The sequence below is a fragment of the Homo sapiens genome, chromosome 18 (genome assembly GCF_000001405.40).
Source record: "Homo sapiens chromosome 18, GRCh38.p14 Primary Assembly".
NCBI classification, from domain to species: domain Eukaryota; kingdom Metazoa; phylum Chordata; class Mammalia; order Primates; family Hominidae; genus Homo; species Homo sapiens.
Genome location: NC_000018.10, coordinates 75,980,770 through 76,008,449, shown reverse-complemented (window position 1 = coordinate 76,008,449; position 27,680 = coordinate 75,980,770). Strand labels below are relative to the sequence as shown.

Sequence of the window (27,680 nt, the reverse complement as noted above, 5' to 3'; positions counted from 1 at the left end):
TGTGTTTGTGTAGGTGAGCGTGTCCTCTAGGTCAGGTGGGTCTGGCGATGGGAAGACCATCCCATCCTGAGACATGCACATCCAGTGTCAGCGACAGAGCCCGTGAGTGAGCTGTCACGAATGTCGCTTCTCAGGGAGTTTACTGGAACTAAATGTTTGGGATTATTTCTTCAAATTACAGCAATCAAGGCATCGTTCTGAGACCTGCACTGGAATACCGCGTCGAGTCCTTGCTCATCCCCACGAATGCTTTGGGTTTCGCTGTGATGTGTGTGCAGCTGTATATGGGCCTGTTGGGGCTGATACAGCAGTCATTCTTTCCAAGAAATCTTTGATCTGCTGAAAGGTGACTACAAAGCTGATAGCCAAGGTACCGACGCAGGGAGAGTTTCACAATGTGGCATGTTAGAAGGGGCAGGTCCCAGGGGCCGCTTTGCTGAGTGTGTAACAGCTAATTGGGCCTGCTAGGGTCAGCAATTAGCTTGGAGCTATTCAGAACTGACAGGGCCACCTTTATCTGTAAACCAGTTCTTCATTGAACAATAACGCCGCAGCCAGTCAGGGAGATATCTGTGCAGCACAAAGCAGGCTGCATGTGTCAGGGTAGACGGAGCTTTTCCCCGGGCTGTGGAATTCGGATGTCCTCTCCGCAGTGGAGCCCAGCGATCACCTGGTTCCCTAAAAGCAACACTTGGCAGGTCCTTCGTGAGAGGAACATCATTTCCCTTAGTCTCAATGACAGAGTTGTTTCTCTGACTGAAGATTACCTATTGGAAAACTAAGCGTGATATTTTCTTTTCAAACAGTGAAGAGAATATAAAAAACTTCACTTCGAAAATGATCTACCAGGGCTGTGTTAATAAGAGTGAAGTTTGGAAAATAAAACTTGGAAACGTTATCTCTGGGAGGTCTAAAAATTTTCCTCATGCTTTTGATAGTCGAGAAGGGAATGTGTTCGCCTTTGTGTCAGATCCTTAAGCTCTTTTTCGTCCTTTTTGTTTGCACTTAAATTTCGAGAAAGAAAACAATGGTCCCTTTTCACAAGAACCCTTCTTCTCCTCCCTAAGAAAATAGCACTTCTACAATGTTACCTTCCTCAAGCTCCATGGCCGAGTTCTGGGTTTATTTTTAATTTATTTTTATATTGTTTTTCTTGGTGGGGGCCGTGGATCGGCTCTTCTCAAGTAGGGTGGTCTACTGTCAGAAGGCGTTATCTGGTGTTGAGGTATGGCCGCCATGTGGGGCCCTTCACACGTGATCTTGGAGTTCAGTGGAGGGGCACGCCCCACCTGGCTTCCCAACCACCACTGCCCAGTGAGCCTTTTCAACTTTTTTTTTAAATTATTTTTTTAGAGACAGAATCTCCCTGTGTCACCCAGGCTGGAGTGGCACGATCATAGCTCACTGCAGCCTTGATCTCCTGGGCTCAAGCAATCCCCCTGTGTCAGCCTCCTAGGTAGCTAAGATGACAGTTGCATGCCACCACACCCAGTTAATTTTTTAGTTTTTCATAGACATGTGGTCTCTCTATGTTGCCTAGGTTGGTCTCGAATGCCTGGGCTCAAGCCATCCTCCACTTTGGCCTACCAAAGTGCTGGACTAACAGTGATGAGCCACCGCACCTGGCCTGCCCAGGTGAGTCTTATGTCAGCCTCATCCCATCCTTCCCTGAGAGGTACATCAAGAAGGGAGAGGCACCTCCACAGTCTGTGGATGACAGCTCTATAATTTCAGCATTATTTTCATACAGTGCAAGTGCCTTATATATTTATGTGGCTTCATTTTACATGTGCTTTTTCGTGTAATTGATTTGTACTTGTCTCTGCTAGATTTCAGTAACTTACCTCTCTTTTTTTCTATTTTTATTTCTGTTGTCCCCTCCCAGTTGTTCTCTATCCTTGATGGAAAAAAATGTGAAGCACTCCCACTATGCTTTCTGTTCTCTGCAGCCTCTTTTTTGCAAGGAAGCCCTGTCGTGCAAGGGAAGGTCAGACGGATGAGATTCCGGTTGGTCCCTCTAGCTAAGCTGTTCCGCACGGCGAGTGTATGGGAACGAGGCTGCTTTGAGCTAACTTTGCCAACGCTCTGCTGGTGAGGTAAGCCAGGGATGAGCCCCTGATGGTGTTCAGGGATCTCCTTCAAGAGCATAAAAGGGAGCTGATTGATGAGGTCCGTGCATCTGTTCACTCTCTCCCACGACTGCTCCTGCCCCAGGTGTGTCAATACCCAGGGGCAAGGGGTGTGGAGGTGGGGAGCAGATTTAATGGGTGAATTTACTTGCAGTAAAGAAATTCTTCTCCTTGTCTTGGTCACCATTTTTTCACCAAGAAACTAGCATTTCCTATCCTACTAAAAGTTTACAGTTCTTTTTTTCTTCTTCTTTTTGGTGAGCACGTTTCTGCACTGTTGAGCTGACAGCTGAAATCTGTCCTCCTCCTGCGTGTGATGTCAGCTGTGGGCCAGCCTGGCAGTTATGAAGAGAAGAAGAGGGGACAGCTAGGGGGAAGAGGAAGCATGTTACGATTGTGACCAGACCGGCTGAAACTGTGTGTCATGTGTCACAAACCCCACGGCCTGGCAGATCTCCGTGGAGGGAGCTTTGCCTACTCGCATGACATATCTAAAGGCTCACGGGAGGCCAGCCCGCACCTGTAAGTCTCCTGGCTGACGTGCGACCAGGCAGCCTCCAGAGAGAGAGAGAGAGGGAAATGGGCAAGAGCTGAGACTCCAGCAGCAGCAGGAAATGGGCTGCGTTGCAGACAGCCGGCGCCACCAAGAGTTATTTCTAAAATCTGGGTTCGATTATGATGTGCAGTCAGGTACAAACTGACAGACGAACAACTTTCTCCCATCTCGCGGCTGCTCCTTGTTTACAGTGCTTTCAGACTCCATGGAAGTTTCTCTAAAGGCACCTGTGTGGTGTCTCATAAGAGTCCGGGCTGCCAAGCGCCTCCCGTGTCATTTCTAACAGGTGTGGAAGGTGAAAGGAAGGAACATGAAGGAAAAGATAAGACACGAAGAGAAGGAGCCATGTGGAAAAACCTGGAGTGCAGAAGTGTTCGTCTGAAAGGCTACGATGACCGTGATGAGTAAATTATTTTATTCCTACCATTATACAATAAAATACTATCCAGTTCTTGTGTTTATAGGAGAACAAATGACTGTTTCTCTATTTCCATTCATCTTCTATTTTTAAAATAAAAACTTTATATAAGCATAGGATACTTAAAAGGACCAAGATATATTTTGGCTTGTGTTTACATAGGGACATGTTTGAAAACATAGCATTTTTTAATTGGTAAAATAGGTAAAAACAACTGGAGAGGAAGTTTCATGCTTGGCAGAGATGATATTGAAATATTCAATGCACCGGGCATGGTGGCTCACGCCTGTAATCCAGCACTTTGGGAAGCCAAGGCAGGAGGATCACTTGAGGTCAGGAGTTCGAGACCAGCCTGGCCAACATGGTGAAACCCCATCTCTACTAAAAATACAAAAATTAGCTGGGTGTGGTGGCAGGTGCCTGCAATCCTAGATACTCGGGAGGCTGAGGCAGGAGAATTGCCAGAGCCCAGGAGGCGGAGGTTGAAGTGAGCTGACATTGCACCACTGCATTCCAGCCTGGGTGACAGAGTGAGACACTCTGTCTCACAAAAAGAAAAAGAAAAGAAAAGAAAAGAAAAAAGGAATATTCAATGCACACAATGGGAAACAAGAGAGGGTGCAAGGCTCTGGGCCCAGAATGTCAGGGAATCCAGGATCCTCCTGGTGAGAAGGCAAAATGAGAATGTGCAGCCTCTGTCCTCATGGAGGCCATGGGTGCAGAGTAAAGGGACAAACTGGCCACTTGGCATCGCATGGACAGTCTAAGGATTTCACTTTCTAGCAGCTCATTGTGGTATCTTATCTCTGCTGCCTGGACATGGGGACCCACAGCTTGATGGAGTCACTCTTTTTGGGTTGTGATTCCAATGTGTCACCTAAGCTGGCACCCAGGGGGATCAGGGTCCACCAGCAACACAATTACTCAACAGGAGAAAATACAATCCTGTTGTACCATCTGACACCAACTCCTCCCTGACACCTCAGCAATAGTCAGGACACATTTAGGATATTTTCTTTTTGAACTGTATCACTTTTGGACTTTTCTTTATCAATTACGATAATTTTTACCCTTGTCATTTAGTAAAACTCTGCGGTCCCTGGTTATAGATAAGATATAAACTTTGTATAATATTAAATATATATATGTAAACATGCATATATATCTATATGTGTATGTATGCATACATGCATGTAATATTTGTTTAATTTCAAATTAATTATATTTTGATAATTGTAACACTCTAGATTTGTTTTGAAAATACCAATTTTAAAAAAGATGCCATTTGGCCTATCATTGATGGGCATTTAGGTTGATTCCATGTCTTTGCTATTGTGAATAGTGTTGCAATGAATGTACCGTGCATGTCTTTTTATAATAAAATGATTTTTATTCCTTTGGGTATATACCCAGTTATGGGATTGCTGAGTCAAATGGTATTTCTGGTTCTAGGTGGTACATGTACACCATAGAATACTACGCAGCCATAAAAAGGAATGAGATCATGTCCTTTCCAGGAACATGGATGGAGCTGGAAGCTGTTAACCTCTGCAAACAAACACAGGAACAGAAAACCAAACACCGCATGTTATCACTTATAACTAGGAGTCGAACAATGAGAACACATGGACACAGGCAGGAGAACAATACACATTGGGCTGGTTTGGGGCACAGTGGGAGGGAGAAATAGCTAACGCATGTGGGGCTTAGTACCTAGGTGATGGGTTGGTAGGTGCAGCAAACCACCATGGCACAATGGCACACGTTTACCTATGTAACAAACCTGCATGTCTGGAACTTAAAATAAAATTAAATAAAAAAAGATGCAATTTGGTAATCATTATTTTTTCAATTGTTATATTTTTTTATTTCCCTGGACTTTGATTTGTAAAATCTTTTATATATTAAGGAAATAATTCAATTTGTCAAAAGTTTTCACAACCTTTGGGTTTGCCATTTACATTCTATTTTTGTTCATATTGGGATTTTTTTTGGGGGGAGCTAATTAAAAACATTGCAACCAAATGTTTGTAATGTTTGTATTCCTTTATTAATTCTTTTTATTTTTTTTTTGAGACAGACTTTTGCTTTTTTCACCCAGGCTGGAGTGCAATGGTGTGATCTCGACTCACTGCAACCTCCGCCTCCTGGGTTCAAGCGATTCTCCTGCCTCAGCCTCCCGAGTAGTTGGGATTACAAGTGCCCACCACCACACCCAGCTAATTTTTGTATTTTTAGTAGAAACGGAGTTTCACTGTGTTGGTCAGGCTGGTCTCGAACTCCTGACTTCAGGTGATCCACCCGCCTCGGCCTCCCAAAGTGCTGGGATTGCAGAGCCACCGCGCCTGGCCTCCTTTATTAATTCTTCCTTTAATCTTATGCTGAAAAGCCCTTTTTCTCCTCTAAACTCTTCTAGCTGTTTTAAATTGTTATATCTTTGTTTTCTTGGTTTACAGTGAACTATTTGGTCCTTCTTTTGTTTATTATGGAATATGGTACACAGTACATTTATTGTCCTTAATTAACTGACAGTCTCTTCCATGATGAGAAATGCATGCCTTGTTAAGTGCTAAAGTATACAGAGAATTTGACCTGCTCATGGCCTTCCGTTCTGTTCCATTATTATGCCTGCCCCGCCTTAAGACTATCAATTGATGTTTGGCAAAGTCAGTTGCATGCCTCCCTCATACTTTTGTTCCCAAAATATTCTTTATATTTTCACCTGTTTATTATTCCCTAGGTAATTTATAATTTTGATTTCAATTGCTTTGATTTGTGGGCAAATGGTATATCATTTCAAATGTTCATGCATCCCATAGATAAATACGATCTGTATGTTTTCCTTTTTTCAAAATTTTATGTATTTCAAGGCTTTTTAAAATCTTCAGAATTTTAAAATTTTATGTTTTATTTCCTTGTAGCATATGTTTTGGTTGGAATTATGATAGGGATCTCTTTTTAGCAATATCTTCTGCTATAATTTTACTGGTATAAAGAAAAGGTTTGTTTTTCATATGTATATTTTATAATTTATAATTTGATAAATTATAAAATATAGTGAATCCATTAATTAGCCATCACCTCTTTCTTTTTATTTTTAGTGAAAATAAAGAATGAACCCACTAATTAGCCATCAACTCTTTCTTTTCTATTCATTTTTAGTGGCTATCTTGGATTTTATTTATTGAGTATATATTTATTAGCTATCTCAATAAATGGATATTTATATTGATTTTCATAATAACAATTGTATTTGATCAAATCTAGTTCTATCTCATTAGATCAATTGCATTTGATCAAATCCGCTAGTTATACATCATTATATCTTTCTTTTCATTGTGTTAAACCATTAACAACATTTCCATAACACTGTTAAATAAGCAGACATTCTAGTCCAGTGTCTCATTTTATTTATTTATTTTTTCTTTTTTTTTTTTTTAATTGATCATTCTTGGGTGTTTCTCGCAGAGGGGGATTTGGCAGGGTCACAGGACAATAGTGGAGGGAAGGTCAGCAGATAAACAAGTGAACAAAGGTCTCTGGTTTTCCTAGGCAGAGGACCCTGCGGCCTTCCGCAGTGTTTGTGTCCCTGGGTACTTGAGATTAGGGAGTGGTGATGACTCTTAACGAGCATGCTGCCTTCAAGCATCTGTTTAACAAAGCACATCTTGCACCGCCCTTAATCCATTTAACCCTGAGTGGACACAGCACATGTTTCAGAGAGCACAGGGTTGGGGGTAAGGTCACAGATCAACAGGATCCCAAGGCAGAAGAATTTTTCTTAGTACAGAACAAAATGAAAAGTCTCCCATGTCTACCTCTTTCTACACAGACACGACAACCATCTGATTTCTCAATCTTTTCCCCCTTTCCCCCCTTTCTATTCCACAAAACCGCCATTGTCATCATGGCCCGTTCTCAATGAGCTGTTGGGTACACCTCCCAGACGGGGTGGTGGCCGGGCAGAGGGGCTCCTCACTTCCCAGTAGGGGCGGCCGGGCAGAGGCGCCCCTCACCTCCCGGACGGGGCGGCTGGCCGGGCGGGGGGCTGACCCCCCCCACCTCCCTCCCGGCAGTGTCTCATTTTAAATGGACTTCCTCCAGTTTTCCCCCATTAAGTTTGTAGATTACTTTTTCGATGTAAACCTATTCCTAATATTAAGGAAATATCCTTTCAGTCTTTATTTAAAAAGAGGCATCTGGAGGAAAAGATGCCTTTAACCCTGACATTCTACAATCTTTTGATCTGTTTATAGCTTTTCTGATATGTTCAATGTTTACTTCTTCTAGCCAGAATATAAGCTCCTTGAGAACTGGGGATCAATTTCATTCACTCTTGAATCTGCTGCACCTGTGAATGACTAAGAAATTAAAAATTCCATTTCAAAAGTCATAAGAACTTCCTGTTACTGCAAATAGGTAAAAAGTCTGAAGTTAGAGACAGTTTTGAAGTTATTTATTTAGTAATCATTTCAGTTTTACTGTTTGAAAATTTTCTTTTTATTTTTAAGTCAACTTAAGTAATTTTCTTCCGGAGAACAATTCATTTTATAAAAACTTTATCATTGTTAATGTGCAATTTAAACATTATTCTTAATATTTAAAGATATTTATCTATATTAAGGACTCCTTTAATACTGATTTTCTATAGTTATGGCATTTAATTTCTTAGTATCTTGATTATATCTGTCAAGAATTTGTCTATGCATTTTTTTTAATTTGCTAGAATGTACCTAAGAAAGTACAAGTTTTTTTTCTTGGTTTCTGACTTATTGATCTTTGCTTTTATCTTTATCTCTTTCCTCTTGACATTCTTGTTCTCCCTTTAAAACCAACTGAGATTAACATTTAAGACACTATGCTACCCTGCTTCAAACTATACTACAGGGCTACAGTAACAAAATAGCATGGGACTGATACAAAAACAGACACATAGACCAATGGAACAGAACAAATAACCAGAAATAAGACCACGTACCTACAACTATCACATCTTCAACAAACCTGACAAAAACAAGCAATGGGAAAAGAACTTCCTATTCAATAAACGGTGCTGAGATAACTGGCTAGCCATATGCAAAAGGTTAAAACTGGACCTCTTCCTTACATCATACACAAAAATAAACTCAAGATGGATTAAAGACTTAAATGTAAAACCCAAAACTATAAAAACCCTGGAGGACAACCTAGGCAATACCTTTCAGGACATAGGCATGGGCAAAGATTTCATGACAAAGACATCAAAAGCAAATTTGCAACAAAGGCAAAAATTAACAAATGAGATCTAATTGAACTAAAGAGCTTCTGCACGGCCAAAGAAACTATCAACGGAATAAACAGACAATGTACAGAATGGGAGAAAATTTCTGCAAACTATGCATCGGACAAAGGTCTAATATCCAGCATCTATAAGGAACTCGACAAATTTACAAGAAAAAAACAATCCCATTAAAAAGCAGGTAAAGGACATGAACAGACACTTTTCAAAATAAGACATAAATGCAGCCAACAATCATGAAAAAAAGCTCAACATCACTGATCATTAGATAAATGCAAATCAAAACCACAATGAGATACCATCTCGCACTAGTCAGAATGGCTATTATCAAAAGTAAAACAGTAATAGACGCTGGCAAAGTTGTTAAGAAAAGGGAATGCTTATACACTGTTAATGGGAGTATAAATTAGTTAAACCATTGTGGAAGATAGTGTGGTGATTCTTCAAAGACCTAGAGACAGAAAAACCATTCAACCCAGCAATCCCATTACTGGGTATATACCCAAAGGAATATAAATTGTTCTGTTATAAAGACACATGCATGTATAAGTTCATTGCAGCACTATTGATAATGGCAAAAACATGGAATCAAACTAAATGTCTATCAATGACAGGCTGGATAAAGAAAATGTGATACAGATACATGGTGAAATACTTTCAGCCATAAAAAAGAATGAAATCATGTCATTTTCAGGGACATGGTTGGAGCTGGAGGCCATTATCCTTAGCAAACTAATGCAGGAACAGAAAAACTAAATACTGCATATTCTCGCTTGTAAGTTGGAGCTAAATGATAAGAACACATGGACACATAGAGGGAAACAACACACACTGTGTCTATCCGAGGGTGGAGGGTAGGAGGAGGGAGAGGATCAGGAAAAATAACTAATGGGTACTAGGCTTAATACCTGGGTGATGAAATAATCTGTACAACAAACCCCCATGACAAAAGTTTACTTATGTGACAAACCTGCACATGTACCCCTAAACTTAAAAGTTAAAAAAGAAAGAATTATCCATTCTGAACCACAAAAATAAAATATTTTTTTTAAAGGCAAACAGAACCTAAAGGACCTAGGGAACTAAAGCAAAAGATCTAATATTTGTATCATCACAGGCCTAGAAGGAGAGAAAAGGGAAGGGCTGAAAAACTGTTCAAAGCTAAAAACTTCCCATTTGGTGAAATACATAAACCTACAGATTCAAGAAGCTGAGAAAACTCCAACAAGGTAAACCTAAAAAAATCCATACCAAGACATATAATAGCCAAACTTCTGAAAACTAAACACAAAGGAAAGGTCTTGAAGTTACAGGAGAGAAAGAAAAATTCATAATTACAGATGGATACTTCAAAACACCTTTCTCAATAATTAATAGAATAACTACAGAGAATATCAGCAAGAAATAGGAGAATTTAACAACACCATTACCCAACAGTATCTAATCAACACTTAAAGAACACATTAGTAAACAACTACAGATTATACATTCTGTTCTCCCACTGAACATTCACAAAAGTGGACCATATCTGATACCATTAAACATACTTCAATCATTTCAAAGAACTGGAATCATGCTGAGTGTGTCCTTTGACCATAGCAGAATCAAAGCAGAAACTAATAACAGAAATATAAAGGAAAATCTCCAAAAACTTGAAAACAAAATATTGCACCTTTAAATAGCCTGTGAATCAAAGAAATCTCAAAGGAAATAAATAATAAGTTGAACTAAATAAAAATAAAAATACATCCACAAATACAAAATCTGTGGGGTGCAGCTAAAGCATTGTTTAGAGGAAAATTTATAGCACTGAGTCCATACATTAAAAAAGACAAATAGCCTCAAATTAATAGTCTAAGTTTCTACATCAAGAAATTAGAAAAGAAGAGCAAAATAAACCCAAAGCAAGTAGGAGGAAAGAAATAAGGATAAGAACATATATCAATGAAATTGAAAACAGAGAGTAAAAATAAATAAAATAAACTTAGTTTTTTAAAAAAATTAGTAAAATTAACAAAAATCAAACTAGCAAGCTTCAGACCTCATACACATATCTTATAGACTGAAACATCATTATTAAAATATTTCCCAATAGAGTTCAGCAATATATAAAGAAAATGATATACCACAAGTAAATTCTTATTCTAGGGATGCCAGACTGGTTTACTACTTTTAAAAATCAATCAGTGTAATCCACTGTATTCACAAGCTAAAGAAGAAAAAAAATCACATGATCACACCAATTTAGGAGAAAAAATCTTTTGACAAAATTCAACACGCACTTGACAAAATTCAACACGCACTTTACAAAATTCAGCACATATTAATGACAAAAATTATCAGTAAGGAATAGAGGGTGGTTTCCTCAACTTGATAAAGAATTTCCTGTCTACAAAATGCTATAGTTAGCATCAACTTAATGTTAAAATGCTAAATGGCTTTCCACTAAAATTGAGATTTAGGTGAGAATGTTCACTCTCACCATTGCTATTCAACATCATACTGGAAATTCTTACTATCATAGTGTCTAATAAGAAAAGAAAAGTAAAGAGAATCCATACTGATCAGAAAGAAAGAAATTCACCTATTTGTAGATCACATGATTGTCTACGTATAAAATCTCAAAGGATCTAAAAAACAAACCAACCAGCAAACAAAAGCTTCCTACCACAAATGAGATCAATATGTTCACAAGATACTAAATCAGCACACAAAAATGAATTGTATCTCTACAAACTAATAAGGAAGAGAGAGAAACCGAAACTGCAAATATAGTACCATTGTAATAGCTACAAAAAGATCAAGTACCTAGGTGTAACTCTAACAGAGCATGTATAGAATTTGTGTGCTGAAAATTACAAAATGCTGATGAAAGAAATCAGAGACAATCTAAACAAATGAAGAGAGGATCTTTGCTCATGAACTGGAAGACTCAACATAACAATTTTCCCAAAATTGCTACAAACACTGAACACAATTCCTATCAAAATTCTAGCAAATTTTTTATAAATTCAAAAAAGATTATTCTAAAATTTACATGGGAAAGCACAATCCTAAGAATAGCTAAACAAATTTTGAAAGAGAATAATGAAGTGGGAGGAATATTCACTCTGCCCTGTTTCCAGGTTTATTACGTAGCATTGAGACTATGGGACTGGCAGGGATGGGGATACACACAAAGATAAACGAAATAGAAAAATGGACCAGTAACAGCCTCACACAGGAACAGCCAACTGATTTTTCAGAGGTACTAAAATAATTCAATGGAAGACAGATAGTCTTTTAAACAAAAAATAAATCTTAACCTAAACCACACATTTTATACAAAAGGTAACTAAAAATGGTTTAAATGTAAAACACCAAAGTATAGTTTTTCAGAATAAAACACAGGAAAAAAAATTCAGAACTTGGGCTTGATGAAGAGTACTCAGATGTGGTATCAAAAGCTCAATTCATAAAAGAAAAAGATCCATGAATTGAACTTTATCAAAACAAAAATTTTGCTCTGTGAAAGACTCCATTAAAAGGATGGAAAGACAGCTACAAACCAAGGGATAATATTTGCAAAACATATATCAGTTAAAGGACTCATATTTAGAATTTGTAAAGATCTCTCTGAGCTCAACAGTAAAAAACAAAATGATCCAATTAGAAAATAGGAAATAACATGAAGAGATCTTTCACTGAAAAAGACATACAGATAGAAAAAAAGCACATAAAAAGTTCAACATCACTAACCTTAAAAAATGCAAATTAAGGTCACAGGAGATATCACAAAACACCTATTAGAATAGCCAAAATAAAAACTAGTGACAACACCAAATGCTATCGGTGGCACAGAGAAACTCAGTCATTCATACGTTGTTGGTGAAAATATGAAACGATTCTGACCCTTTGCAAAATCACTTGGAAAATTCTTGAACAACAACAACAACAATAACAAAGCATACAAATATCCTATGACCAAGCAGTCACACACCTGGGCATTTATATCAGAAAAGTGAGAGCTTGCCAGAAAACTGGTACACAATTGTTGGTAGCCTTTTTATTCGCAGTTGCCAAAATCTGGAGACGAGCAAAATGTCCTTCAATGTGTGAATGGTTACACAGATCACGGTACATCAGTGCCATGGAACACTATTCAGCACTAAGAAGGAAAAACTCTTGATGCACAAGCAGCTCAGAGGAATCTCCAGGGAATATGGCTGAGTGACGGAAGTCAGTCCTAAGGGTTACATAGTATATGATTCCATTTATACAATATCCTTGAAATAACAAAATTTTAGAGATAGAGGAAGATTGGTGATTTCCTGGCTTTAAGAATCATGCGAGTTGCAGGTGGATGTGCCTGTAAAGATCTTCATGGTGACAGAACCATTCTGTGTCTTGTTTACGGTGGAGATCACTCAAGTCTGCATGTGATACAGTGACATAGACCTACACAAACATTGCAAGAGTGTCAGTTTCCTGGTGTGGATATTGTACCATAGTTCATAAGCTGCAGCCATTGGGGGAAGCTAGGTGAAAGGTTCAGGAGACCTTCTTGTACTATTTTTGTAACTTCTTATAGATCTATAATTATTTCAAAATAAAAAGTTTTAAAAAGGACCTACAGGTGTTAATTCAATGTTGAACAGACGCAAGGGTTCCAGAGGGTCTCAGCTTGTCCTCACTTGTTTCCTGTGCTGTGCCCAGCAGACCAACAGTGACCCCAAGCCACACACCAGGCAGACCACCAAGGTGACTTCCCAGGTGGTAAGGACTTCTCGACTTCTTCGCCTGGAGGACGCACCTAGCAAATCAGACTTTCCCACAAGCTCCTGCCTGTCCACCTGCCCCTCTTGTCCTCTGCCTCCTGATTTCAGAGCATCTCTTCTCCATTCATGTAACCCATGACTCCTGTATCGACCTCTTTTCCTGGAATGCCGATCCGGGGTCTGTGTTCTCGGCTGTTTCCTCCTGGCCCCCTCCCAACCAGCGAGGCTCCTCGGGCTCTCAGCTTCCCCGGCTTCTGCTTTACCAGCGCAAACCTCCGTTCCTTCCTGAACTCCCTCCCTTCTCGTTCACCTTGTCGTGCCCTGCTTATATTTTGCTACCAGCTCATTTTCCTTAAATACTAAACCAACAGTGTCCTTAATAAGATCATTAAATTCCATACGTTTAGGCTGGAGGAGAAGAAATCAAGGTCTAACCACAGGAGAAACAGCTTCCTCAGGGTGTTTGGGCGCCAGGGATGGATAACATCTCTTCATTCTCAGTCTGGTCCTAGAAATTCTCACCAGCTTTCCAGTTTCTAGCCCAGCAGGTATGAACTCCCGGTCTGTCCTCTTGTTGGATGACCTCACATACTTTCATGGCTAAATGTGTTGACTGAATACATGTTTCCTGGTCTTTATTCCCGCCTGTGTGTGGAGTGGCTTGGGGAGGGGCACGGAGTCTTCTCATTCCTGTGAGGCTGCAAAGGCCATATGTGACCAGGCCGTGAAGGCATTGAGTGCCAACCGGAGGGGTCAGGATTTTGTTCTAGAGCAATGGGACACCACTGGAGATTGTTGTAGAAGAGACATAAAGGCCATATTTGTATTTTAACAGCGATGAGTGAAACAGCCACGAAGGGACCGGGGCAGTGAGTGGGGAAGAGGCACTAGAAAGTGATGCAGCTCTCCAGGTGAGGGGCTGCAGGAGACGGGGCTGGTGCAGCCCCCCAGGAGTGATGAGGAGCATCTAGGGTGGAACCCACCAGCTCAGGGACTGTCTGAACACGCCTGGGAGGGGAGGGGGCTGTGATGACACTGTCGTGTCTGGCCTGGGAGACTGGGGGGATGGTTAACCATAGACAGAATGGGAAACAACAGAAAGTGAGTATGTGGGTGGAGGGAGAAATATTTTTGAGCACTTTTGGTTGGGCTGAGTGGAAATGCCTCTTTGGCATCCATGTCAGCGTTTTGACAAGATCAGGGGAAGTGTGTGCAGAAGAGAGTCTGAGGACAGGCTCAGGATGGAGGGTGTCATTGGCGAGTTTGGAATAGTAGCCAAGGCAGTTACAATGGGACAGCAGAAAGAGAGGAGGGAAAAGGGCTCTATCTGAACCCTTGAGAAATACTTAGTGGTGGGTAGAGAGAGAACCACAACACTCAGCACATTGAGTATTGCCTTACTACAGAAGAAATGACAACGGTCTGTGCTTCCATCAGCTGACAGCTCTGAGTCCTGACTCCAGTTCAGGGTGCCCTGGGAGACGGAACAAGACACTGATGAATTGGTGAAGTTCCTTGCACTTTATTCATTTTGCTAGAAATAGTATGAATGATAATAATAATAATACCTATAAATTGCTATTAGATGTTTTGTATACATTATCCCATTTAATCTTCACATCTTACCAAAAAGTTTTGGAAGGTTCAGAAACCTGCCCAAGGTCACAGAGTGGTGACAGGCAGTGGGGAGCTGGCCCACATCAGCCCTCTGGCCCTGTAGCCCACCTCTTTATGGAACGTAGCGCTGGGGTGATACTGGCACAATTCTGCCTGTGCCTGGGCTCAGGTCTGGCACACACATAAAACTCTCTACCCATTTCCCATGGCTGCCAGAATGCAGTGCACGTCATGAAAATTTTTCCAGCTCTCCTCTAGTAGCCCCATTTCGCACAATGAACCTTTTCTTCCTGTTTACTAAGTGTTTACACTGTCCTTTTAATCAGATATTACAAGAGCAGCTTTTTCCCTCTGCTTTTAACTAGAAAGGACTCATTTTAGAGAGTGTCTCGTGCTGCTTTTGTCTGCTCCTCCACAGAATCCATTTGTTGTCATTTTCATTCTTTCTCACTAGAAAGTGCTGCTCATCAGAGTGACAAAAAATATGAAGCATAAAACTGTATTTCCCCACACCCCAAATTAAGCCTTCCAGAAGGACATTAATATGCCCCAATTCTTTCTATCTGTTGAATTTTTCAGCAACTCAATCCCAAAACCATTTTTATATTTGGTCACATATGAGTTGAATGAGAGTAATTGACACTAATGATTTCAGCTCATATTTACTTGCTCTATTGTTTCATTTTGACTCTGTTTTTCCCTCTCCATTTCTGCCTTTCTCCCCCTGTATGTTAAGTTCCACCGAGATCTATCTTTGTTTCACAGAGTTCCACAACTCGGAAGCTAATCATATCCCAGAACACTGATCCTGATGTCCTGCGGTGTTTGGAATTTACATTAGTTGTTTTTTCACCCACTTTTGGTTAGGGATCATTTCACTGTGGATATCATACTCTGGCAAACACATGCTCATGCAGATACACACACGTTCACAAACAGATATCTCAAGTTAAATATTCATGATACCCAACATTATCATAGGGTTTTTCATACAAAGAAATGGCCAGTGTTGTCATTCAAGGCCTGGAGTACCTTATGCAGAGAATACTAAACAGCCCATTATTACCTCCACGATGTGACAGACGAGCTTCAACGGAGACTAATAACAATAAATTAACGTATCCTGAGTTTGAGGGGGAAAAGCAGGACAAAGGAGCTCTGAAATTGGAGATAACTATTATTGTATATTTTGATTTGGACTCTCTTGAATTAGGTTTGAATATCAGGTTAAAATTTTTACATCATTGTCCATTTCTGAGAGAATGAAGTTGACTTGTAGGAAGATAGTCAATGGCAGTGATTTCAGTTAAATCAAATGGAAACCAAGTTTGAAAAGAAAATAGATTTATCTTTCCACTTCTTGGGAATGTATTTCAGACATGCAGCATGTTCATCTCCTATTATTTAGTGATCTTTACAAAAAAAACATGCAACCTTTGAATTCAACCTTCTCTTTCATTTCAACTTAGATACAGATGTCCTCTTTTGGGAATTAAATATAGTATGTCATGTGCCAACAGAAGGAAGGGAAAATTTAGAATTCACTCCATAGCCAACGGATGGCAACTGGCCTAGGGAAAATGGATGATTAGAATGGAAGAGTCACATTGCAATCCCAAACTTGCACCCTGCTGAGGCCACAAAGACCCTGGGTTTCAATATGCAGCCTCCTCCACCCTGATTTCCACCCCTTCTGTGAAAAACAACGTACTCTGGGGCTGAACTGGTAGCTGTAATTAATAGAACTGAAACTGCAAACTATCTCATCACAAGTTCACCATCGCGTTCATATAATTTAAAGAAAAGGTCACATCTTAGCTTGAAATAGAGTAGAGATCACTATGGACATGAATGTTTTATGTAGAATAAGGTATGTATTTACTTAGAAATGCAGTATGCGCATATACTAGTTATCCCGGATGTATTAATTCATTCATTCGATCAGCAAACACTTAGGAAGTACTCACTATGTATTAGGTGCTTTGCTGAACTCCAGGGACCCAAAACTGAATAAATCTCTTAACTCTATGGAGTTCATGATTTAATTTAACCATATGAGGGTTTAGAAAATACACATCTGCAGAGAGGGTACTGAAAAGGCTGAGAAATGAGGTTATGATATGAAACTATGCCTCCTTATAATTGAGAAAAGCTAGATATTTCAAAAAGATAAATTACTGGGACAAGTTTCTGAAGAAAGTGACACAATGTGTCAACATCAAGAACAAATGTCAAATGTCAATAGTTTATCTAACAATGAAATGTTGTTGGAAGCTTTGTATGAGAGAGCTCTAAAAGTCCCCCTCACTGTCTGAATTCCCTCCTGGTGTGGAGGCAGAGAGAGGCCCTGAGTTCTCATGAGGGTGAGGATGATTCCCTTGCACCAGGTCAAGGCAGGAGAACAGGAGCCAGGAAGCTCAACTCCAGGGAACCAATAGTTCTTCCAATGAAGTGTCTAATCCTAAAGGACCCAGGGCTAGGCAGGAGTGACCAGACAGACCTGCAACATAAAGTGGGCAAGTTCGGGTGTGTACGAATCTAGAACAGCCGCAGAATGCTTCCTGGAAGGATGTTTGAAGGGACAGGAGCCATTGAGGGGGGAAAACTGGTTTAGAGACACACCGGAAATGCCTAAGAACTGGCAAAAGACACCTGTGGAGAGACGTGTGAGCTATGCACTTCTCAAACGTTCACTTGTCTTTTGGATAATTGATCAGCAAATATATCTAACTGACCACTATATACAAAACAATGTACTTTGGAGTAGGGGATGGGTATAGAAAGAAACATAGAACAGGACTCATGCTTTAAACAGCTTTCCATCTGTTTAAGTAATGTAGGTCTGACCTACACCAAACTTTTATAGTCATGTTGCCTATAGCTGAGGGAAAGTTTCAGGAGTGATTTTAGGAATAAAAATACATAGGAGAGAGGGATGCTGTTCTAATAAAAAGAACACCACATTTGGAATTGAAGTGTTGTTTCTGTCACTTATTAGTTGTATTACTTTTATGCAATCCTCTATATACTCTGAAACTCAGTTCTCTTTGGGAAAGTCCAAGCACTATGCCCACCTTATCAATTAGGCTTATTTGGTTTTGAGCAACAGAAGTGTGTTATGACCAACTGAAGCAGCAAATGGTTTCACTGAAAGGATATTATGCAGCTCATAGTAATGAAAGAAAGACTGGAGAAACATTCTCATAAGGAATAGGACTCAGGGCATCGTCTAGGGTTGGAGTAGCAAGAACCCGTCAATGGTCATGTCAAGAAGCTACTTTTTAAAATATATATATCTTTTTTTTTATTATACTTTAAGTTCTAGGGTACATGTGCACAACGTGCAGGTTTGTTACATATGTATACATGTGCCATGTTGGTGTGCTACACCTGTTAACTCATCATTTACATTAGGTGTATCTCCTAATGCTTTCCCTCCCTCCTCCCCCCACCCCACAACAGGCCCCGGTGTGTGATGTATCCCTTCCTGTGTCCAAGTGTTCTCATTGTTCAATTCCCACCTATGAGTGAGAAGATGCAGTGTTTGGTTTTTTGTCCTTGCGATAGTTTGCTGAGAATGATGGTTTCCAGCTTCATCCATGTCCCTACAAAGGACATGAACTCATCATTTTTTATGGCTGCATAGTATTCCATGGTGTATCCATTTGACCCAGCCATCCCATTACTGGGTATATACCCAAAGGAATATAAATCATGCTGCTATAAAGACACATGCACATGTATGTTTATTGTGACACTACTTACAATAGCAAAGACTTGGAACCAACCCAAATGTCCAACAATGATAGACTGGATTAAGAAACTACTATTAAAACAAATGAGGCCCAGCCATTTTTTTAAATCCTTGCACATTTTGTTCAAGATCCAACCCACTAGGAGAGGGTTCCATTGGCCTCGCTTGGGTCCCATGGCTTGCTCTTGAGGGATGGGTGGGCAGGGCAACTGACTAGTGAGATCCACCAGGACTGCACACATCGTGAAGAGGTTAGATCCTAAAAGGAAGCCAAAGCAAAGTTAATGAAGAAAGGGAGTAAGAAACAAAACCCCACAAGCCTTCCCCCAGTTAGGCTATGCAGTGGGAGTTCCCTTCCTCTCTCCAGCAGCAGGTGCCATCAGTGTCTACAATACCCACCCCTATGCCCATGGCACTCTGAGTTCTGGGCATGCAGACTGCGTCCTGCTGAAGCTCCCACCTGAGGGCTTTCTATGGCACACTCTGTCTGCACACAGGGCAGGATTCATGTGTTGGGAGCCGGCACCTGTGGGAGCAGCTCTCATTCAACGATGTCTGGGAACTGGAGAGTAAAGAAGAAGACTCCTCATCCCCCATGCAAGGCTCTGGAACGTGTTCTCAACCCCTCCCAGGGGTTTCTAGCACAGCTGAGCACTGGTCGCCCATAGCAGAAACGTGCTTATTGATGACACTTTCCCTGGCTGCCTTCCCTTCTCTGTCTCACTTTCCTTCCTGAAACCACCTCCTCCATAAGCTACATTCGCTCCATCTTTTGTTTTTTGTTTTTTTTTTCTCAGGGTCTGCTTCTGGAGAAGGAAACTTAAGAGAGGTGGAACCAGAAGTAGTTCTAGGAAGCAGAGGCTCAGAATTGGGTCATGGGATGGGAACCTTTACTGGTGGAGAGAAGATAGTGACAACTTGGGCCCCGTTGCGGCATCACGATGACTAGGGCTCTCACCTGACCTGGACCAGGCTGAGTGCAGGGAGGGACTGGCTCACACATCAGCATGAACATCAAGGAAATGGGTGATTGTTGATGAAGACTATGGAATCTGTGAAATAAAAAATAACATCGTAAAAGCGAGAAGGCCTACCTGGAAGCATTTTTAAGAAGATCTCTTCTCTTGTAGCCCAAAGGCAAACTTTACTAAAACTGAAGCCCAAAATATGATTTCAGGAGTGGTAGCATTTCAGAGAAGGGCTGAATTTGCTTCCCCGGCAATTCTCCTACACTGAAGTCACAGAAGTGGTAAGACCCAGATACCTGGCCTGGGACACTGGGAAGATGGTCTTCAGAGTTTAAGCCCTCGATTTCCCTGAGCACTATCTGGCAGAACCGATGGCCCCCTCCCATCACCTGGAGACCATGCAGACTCACCCTGGGCTGGAGGACTTGCAAGACAGATGCTGTCTGCCCCCCTTAACATTGGCGCCTCCCCTCTCAGTGCTTCCAGACCAATAACAAGATCAAATCTCAGCACAGCTAAAGCAGGGAAACGCTGCATCGGCTCCAGAAGGAAGGGCTCATTTTAAAAGGAACCATCCTCCAGAAACTGGGAAGGTATGACCAGGAATGGTTATGGGATATGCTAGACCAGGGAGGGTGGCAGATACAGCTGGGTAGGGCGAAGCCATTGATTTAGAAACACTTTCTCATGACCCAGAATTTAACATCTTAGAAGAAAATCTGCAGCCAAACCAATATTTCAGTAGAATCACTGCTAAGCTTGGAAACCATGATTATTTACATGATTATTTACATGATTATTATTTACATGATTATTTACATGATTATTTACATGATTATTATTTACGTGATTATTTACATGATTATTTACATGATTATTTACATGATTATTATTTACATGATTATTTACATGATTATTTACATGATTATTTACATGATTATTATTTACATGATTATTTACATGATTATTATTTACGTGATTATTTACATGATTATTTACATGATTATTTACATTAGCATTGGCCCTCAAGTTCGGTTGTTTTGTCCCGCAGTGAACATTTGGCAATATCTGGGGACATTCTGGGCTGTCACAGTGAGGGAAAGTGCTACTGGCATCAAGTGAATAAAAACCAAGGGTGCTGCTAAATACCCCACAATGCACAGGACAGGACCCCTCAACAAAGAATTACCCAGCCCGAAGTGTCAACAGAGCCCTGGACTACAGTAAGCAAGTTGAAAAAGATGGCATCTTAAAATACATTGATTTTATGAGAACAGAAAATCCACTGGCCAACTATGTTTCCTGCGGTCGGTGTAGGAGGCACTCCTTCTGTTAGCACTGCGAGAAATGCCCCAGGGAGGGCCACTAGCCGTGAAAAGCCCAGCTGTGGGCTGTCTTCAGGCAAATAGGGCTGACATAAGAAATGTTACTTTGGAACAGGTCTCCTGAGTGTTAAAAAGGATGATAAGATTTCAGAGTGTCAGGGGCCAGCCGCTGAAGGTGAGAGGGAACACCAATGTCATTACTGCACAGAGCAGCATGGCCTAAGTGTCATCCGGGCCTGGACCCATGGGGCTCTGGGCCTGGCTAGTAGACCCTGGGACTTCTAGGGCAGAGACAGATAGGAAGCCAATGAGGATATTGCTTGATTTACATTTCCAGGAGTGACTTTAAAAGGTAGGCCAGCAGAATTCCTTTGTCAGTTGGGATAAAATCATGAGCCCTCCTCCAGTTTCCAGATAACGCCCATTGATGATGGGAGAGGCAGGGCTCCTTGCAAAGGCTGTGCAGTGTTACCCTAGTTATACACAGTCGTGGCTTCCACTGTTTTCATCCAATGGGACTTGTGGTCATTTCCTAGAGTAACTAGTACTCTAGGCGGAAGGACAATACCCAGATCTATTGAGAGATATTAGATACAGAGTTTAATAGACGCTGATACCAGAGAACCCAAAGCACTATCCTGCCCCACTCCCTGTGAAATGGGGACTCACAGAGGTCAGGAGATATGCAGGGCCCGCCCTGGCCCAAGTTCATTTCCAAGTGGCTTCTGGATGGAATGGCAGAGACTTGACGTAAGTACATAAATGGATACTTGGGAAGTGACAAAGAGCTTAGCTGGAAAGAGCAAAGCTGGAGGATTAAAGATGAAGAGGTCTGGGCTGGAGGCACGTGTACAGATCTGCAGAAATGAGTGCAAAGTGTGCATATCTTTGCATCTTACACCACATCCACCGGAAAGCATCCAGCTCAGAGGGGCCATTGAATAAGCAGTGGACAAGATGATCCTACCAGTGGACAGAAGCCACACGCCTTCCTCATCCACCAGCAGCTGCCCAACGGGCTCGTGAATTGGGTAGCCATGGTGAGGGCTAGCGGCTGCAGATGGGCCTCAGCATGGCTTCCTCTCGCTGCACCTGACAGAGTCACTCCTGTGGGCCAAGGCCCTCCAGTCCCTCTTTTTCCCTCATAATGTGTTTCAAATTTTCCTTCAAAGATTTGCTTTGTGAATTCATTCATCCACTCTAGATTGTGATTTTCTGATTTATTGCTTTCTACTTCATTATATTTTTCCTTCTGTTTTCTTTAAATTAGAAAGTTTTGAAGTTATTTTCTGAATACTTGAATACTCTGTGTTTTCTATCGACGTAGCAATGCATTTCCTTGTGGGTGTGGCTTGAAGACTATGTTTTCTATCGACGTAGCATGCCAAAAGTAATGCATTTCCTTGTGGGTGTGGCTTAGTTATGTAGATCTCAATTTGTCATATTCACGTTTTATTTTTTCTATACTTACACTTTTAATTTCCTCTTTGGCTACACAATACTTTATAATACCATTTGTAAATGTATAGAAAGAAATTTTCCCTGAGATTCTTATTATTAGTTTCCAGTTTCATTGTGTTTTCTAAATAAGTTGTAGTTGCTATGACTTAAAGATCACTTTGTGTTTAAGAAATGCGTGAGAATATTGGGTCTTAGTCCTCTCTTCTTTCAATACTACACTTTTGAAGAATTATTTCCTTGATTATTGCTGTTTTCTTGATTTTGGAAATAGAGACCTCATTTTCTTCACTTTATTCTTTGTTTTTCTTTTGTGATTTGGAAAGTAGATGTCACGTTTAAAATGTTACCACTAGTTATTCGAAACTTTTAAAATAAATATTACATTAGTCTAATACGTATTTTAAATGGTGAAAATTTTCTTTCTTTATTCAATATGAGAAATTTATTATGCTTTTTAGACTTTCTGCTGCATTTTCCGTTACTTTAAACTGTTTACAAGTCTTGTGTTTTTAAATAACATGTTTCTTATATGCAACATTTTTATCCTTGACATTTCCAAAATATGTGGCCATTTGCATATGTTTGTTTGATCATTTTCATGTTTGTTGCAAGTCCTAATCTACCATGAATTCCTTTGATTTTCTTATGGACCAGAGCAAGTCCCCGCAAGCTCTGCCCCATAGGCCATATCCAGGCACAACCTGACTGTGAGTGGTCTGTGAGCTAAGTATGTTTTTAACATTTTATAGTAACTGAAAAAAAAAAGATTAAAAAGTGAATGCTATTTCACAGCATGTGAAAGTTAAGTGAAATTCACATGTCAGTGTTGTAACAGTGTAGTGGGACACAGTCACGCTTACTCTCTTCCACATGGTCTGTGACTGCTTTCACACTACCATGGCAGAGTTCAGTAGTTGCAACATGAAGCTATATGGCCCACAAAGCATAAAATACTTACTATCTGTCCCTTTGCTGAAAATATTTGCCCACGCCTGATGTAGAGCAGTGAGGTGAGCCTTTCTTCTACAGACACACATTTTTGATGCCATGTGGAAGCCCAGTGCCCTCCTCCATGCCCTGAGTTTGCAGGAGAGGAAAGCACTGCAGTATTTATAACTGCCACAGATATCAGTGGTGTGGCAATTACTGTATTTATCACAGGCTGCATGTAGAGCAATGAGGCCACCCATGACAGCCAGTTCCTGAATTCTGACTATAACTCCAGCCTCTCCATTGTTCTCAGTGAAAGCAAGTCAGAATGCAGGAGAATGAAGTTGCTCTCACCCTGGAGAAAACCTGAAATCTTCCCTAGTTTATTATGCTTTTGAGGAGTCAATTGCAAACTCTGTTGCTTCACTGTGATGAAACATTTCTTGTGACACGTTTCTCACCTGGAATGTCATGGGTGATCATGGCTGAGAGGTTGATTCAGGTGCTGGCTTCCGGAGAGCTACTGGGTAGCATGTTTTCTGTAACAGGACGGATGTGAACCTGTCTTTCTGGCATTTGCCTGTTGCCTGGTACCCCTAAACCAGAGGTTCGTAGTCTTATTCTCCAATCTTATAAAGATGCATGATTGCCTCTTAGTCAATGCAATCATGAACAAAAATGTTTACACATCAACACGGTCCCTAAGAATATCTGGTTCATGGGATCCATCTCCATCCCTTTCTAATCCTACTAAAGAAAGCATAATGAGTTGGAACCCACAGCTTCCTGCCCTCATGGAGGTTACAGTGGGGTAGTAAGATAGTCATTAAACAAAATAATGGTTACATGATTTGGTGAGAGGGGAAGGGAACATGAGGCTCAAAGATGTGGGACTGAAGGTATAGGGCCAAGTTTTTGTTTTTTGTTTTGTTTTGTTTTTGGAAAATAATACGTCAGTGGAGCCTTAAAGGTTAATTTAGGGAGAATGGGAGAAGTATTTCCAACAGCAAAAAAATAGAATACATGAAGGCCCAGTGACAAAAGGGCATAGTAGATGAGAGGAACTCAACAGACTTCACTATTCAGGCTCACAGCCTGCCAGGAGGAGGATGACAGGCTTTGTAGACCCTGCTCAACCTGCCGGTCGAGATCTTCATGGCAGTGGGAAGTCACCACGGGCTATCAGAGCAGAGGATCAGATTAGGGTTCTTACAAGAAGGCTGACTGGGCTAAAGAGGGGTAAGCTGCAGGCTGGGATAGCAATTAGGAGTCCAATACGGTCATTCAGGTGAGCCCGAATGAGAGTTGTGCCAGAGAAGATAAAGGAAGCAGGCAGAGTGGAGAGGTCTGTGAGGGGGGTGAATGGACACAGTGGCCGATGGGGTGAGGGATGCCTCTTAGGCTTCCAGCTTTGGTGCCACATACCAAGACAGGGATCACTGAGAAGGGGGCCTAAGAGCTGGGGATGGTGGGTCCCAAATGCAGGAGGTGAGGTTGAGCGTCTTCACATCCATTGTGCAGCCAAGCGCAGCAGTCATCTGGGTATGGAAGCAGCCTTCCCTGACAACCGGAAACTGTTCCTCCTGCACTGTCCTCGTTACTCTCTCTCACCACACCTCGCTTGTCTGCTTCAAGGAATTGATCATTAATACTTGTAAAATTCTGTCTGTATTAGAGCTGCCGTAACAAATGACCTCACGCTTAGTGGCTTAAAAAAATAAAAGTTGGTTATCTTCCAGTTCTGGAAGCCAGAGGTTCTAAATCAGTGTCAATCCTCAAACTCAAGGGGGAGAATCTGTTCCTGTCTCTTCCAGCTTCTGGTGGACCCAGGTGTTCCTTGGCTCATGATCCCATCTCTCCAGTCTCTGCCTCTGGGGTCGCATTGCCTCCTCCTCCTCTTCTGTAGTTAAATATCCTCTGCCTCTTGTACAAGGGCACTTGTGACGACACTGAGCCCACCTGGATCATGTAGGATAAACCCCCATCTCAAGAGCCTTAACTTAATCACACCTGCAAAGTTCTTTTTTGCCATATAAGAAAAGATTCACAGGCTCCAGGAGTTAGGGCATGGATCTCATTTCCTGGGGGGCAGGGAACATCATTCGGTCTAACATGCTGCCTTTCTCTCAAGGATTTACCCTCCGCAAGGGCAGGTCCCCACCTGCCAGGTTCACCAGAGTTTCCTGTTACGAGCATGGTGCTGGACACATCGGCGGCATTAATGCAAATATATTCCTGGGGTGCAAAGGCATGATTTAAAAATGTTATTTTCTTTTGTTCTCTTCTTTAAAATACCTTAAACTAAGGCAACTAGTAACTCGCACAAGCAAAAATCTTGTGCTGAATTTCACTGTTGTTGACCACACCTTCTTCAGACTCCTGTATTTTTGACATCTCTTGAGGGCCACTGGCAGGTGGTCAGGTGCGGAGGACAGGAGTTTGTCATTTTGGTACACAGGGAGTTGCCTTGATTGGGAGTGAGTGGGCTGGAGTGCAGCCATGAGCCTCCCTGCCTCACGCTGCACCAGACAGGGAGCTGGTACTCTGAACCCACCCTGGCCACCTGTTCTCACTCCCCAGGGCTGACCACTGATGTTCGGCCCATCCCTTGGGGTGGTCAGGGGGAAGTGAGGAGCCAGGAGCCCCTCTCACTTCAATCTTTGTTGAAGCGTTGGTTTGCTTGTTGGCTGGTCACCTGGAGCTAGAACAAGGCTAATGTGAGCACAAGGCAGTATTTTCACTGATCTTCAAGCACAGTGGCAGAGAGTGGTTTTGAGATTCAAGTCAGGCATGAGGCTGATGCTACATCCTGGTCATCTGGAATCCCATGACTCCTGTAACACTGGTGTCAGGGAACAGAAGTGGCACGTGGATGTGCACTGGTGTGTATTCCATGTTCTCATGTGCCTGAGGAAGGCGGCTGGACCCGTGGTGTATTGAATCTGCATACTTGCATTTTGAAATCCTTCTGGTAAATGTCAAAATTGACAATGGCTACAAAATACGTGGATGCACAATCTGAGAAGCTTCCTTGCTGTAAATGGTGCAGCTATCCCAATCAAATTTTAAGACACAAATTAAGGATGATTTGAGCATATTTTGCGTTATTCTTTGTTATATTTTGAATTATAAGAGCACTTTGCTTGGCTTATTTTGGGCTTGGTAAGATATTTAGAATTTCATGTCTTCTTTATGAATTGAGAAGCAGACACTTAGCGTGGTTTCTTATTTTACAAGTGCAGTCTATACCAGAGTAATAGAGCTAAAATATTTACAAGGCAGAGACTTGCCTGTATGGAGTTTTCTGATTATAATTGCTAAACATTAAAGGACATGGAAATAAATATTTCTAGCTTTGCACTTCTTCAATGTTGTTTTCAATGCTGCGCAGGGCTGAGAAACCTCAGCTTTTGAAATACTAGAGTTGTGGTCTAGTCAAGTGTTTTAAGAGCAATGCTTCCATAATTTAAAAGAAAGATAATATGCTTGCCATTCTACCTCCAGAAAGTTTGCTTTGCAACATCATCATAACCATCATCATCAATATTAGAAGTAGCAGCATCAATATTACAACAGCTGCCAGTTATGGGCCACTTATCTGTGCCAAGCTCTGTGCTAAGCACTTTGCATGCTTTATCTTATTAAATCATGATAATAACCCAGTTGACACCCCGTTTTTATGTGAGTATGCTGAGACTCAGAAATTAAGTTATTTATCCAAAGAAACATAGCTAGGAAGCAAGGGAGTTGGGATTTGAATCTAAAATATTAGATTCTGAATTCTTGAACTGCACCTAGGGAGTCTGTGTGTTTAATTACAACAAACACGTTTCTTTCATGATATACCTCAAAACAAACTGGTACTGTTTATTTAAATAAACACAAAACAGAAACCCAAAAACTTGTTATAATTGTTTAAATTTGAAAAGAAATGCTTAAAGATGACGTCACCTTTAAGCAGCTTGTTCCTGAAGTGCAGGCTTCAGGTCTACCCTCCAACTATTTTCATTGTAAAATATCCACAGATGCTCAGCTGCTTTGTTAATAACTATCACATTTTCATCATTGTAAAGATAAGCTGAATCACACCGATCCAGTTATCTTTAATGACCACTAAGTGACTCCCTTGTAAGTGCCCAGCAAGTTATAAGCTCTGCATTCTTTGGTATCCAGAGAACCTGCCAGGAAGGCTTGAGGCTCCACTTTTGGCATAAAGAAAATGGCATGTCAGACAGGGAGGCATGGACCTCAGGTCACCGAGCTGCTAAGGAGCGTGGTCGGATTTGAACCCTGACATGTTTATTCCAATGTCGATGCTCTCCTCACTAGGAGGAGAAAATATTATCTTCAAATTGTAGGAAGTGGGAAAAAAAGGTAGATTATTCTTGATATGACACATGTATCCCTGTTGTTTGAAGGACTTTTTTCTAATTACATTCCTCTGAATTTTTAACTTGTCTTAATCCTTTTTGGTTAAACTTAAAATT

The 27,680-nt window shown here is 41.1% G+C and overlaps 1 long non-coding RNA gene across 2 annotated transcripts; it reads left to right on the top strand.

Moving 5' to 3' along the window:
* The first annotated feature begins 181 nt into the window (after positions 1 to 181).
* On the top strand, positions 182 to 3,386 carry LOC105372203 (uncharacterized). 2 transcript variants are annotated; one of them, XR_007066433.1, is made up of 4 exons: positions 182 to 370; positions 1,541 to 1,635; positions 1,950 to 2,096; positions 2,392 to 3,386. It is a non-coding gene; the product is annotated as an uncharacterized LOC105372203 (long non-coding RNA). The 2 variants fall into 2 exon arrangements; XR_002958216.1 differs by lacking the exon at positions 1,541 to 1,635 and having other exon boundaries at positions 198 to 370.
* Positions 3,387 to 27,680: the final 24,294 nt, after the last annotated feature.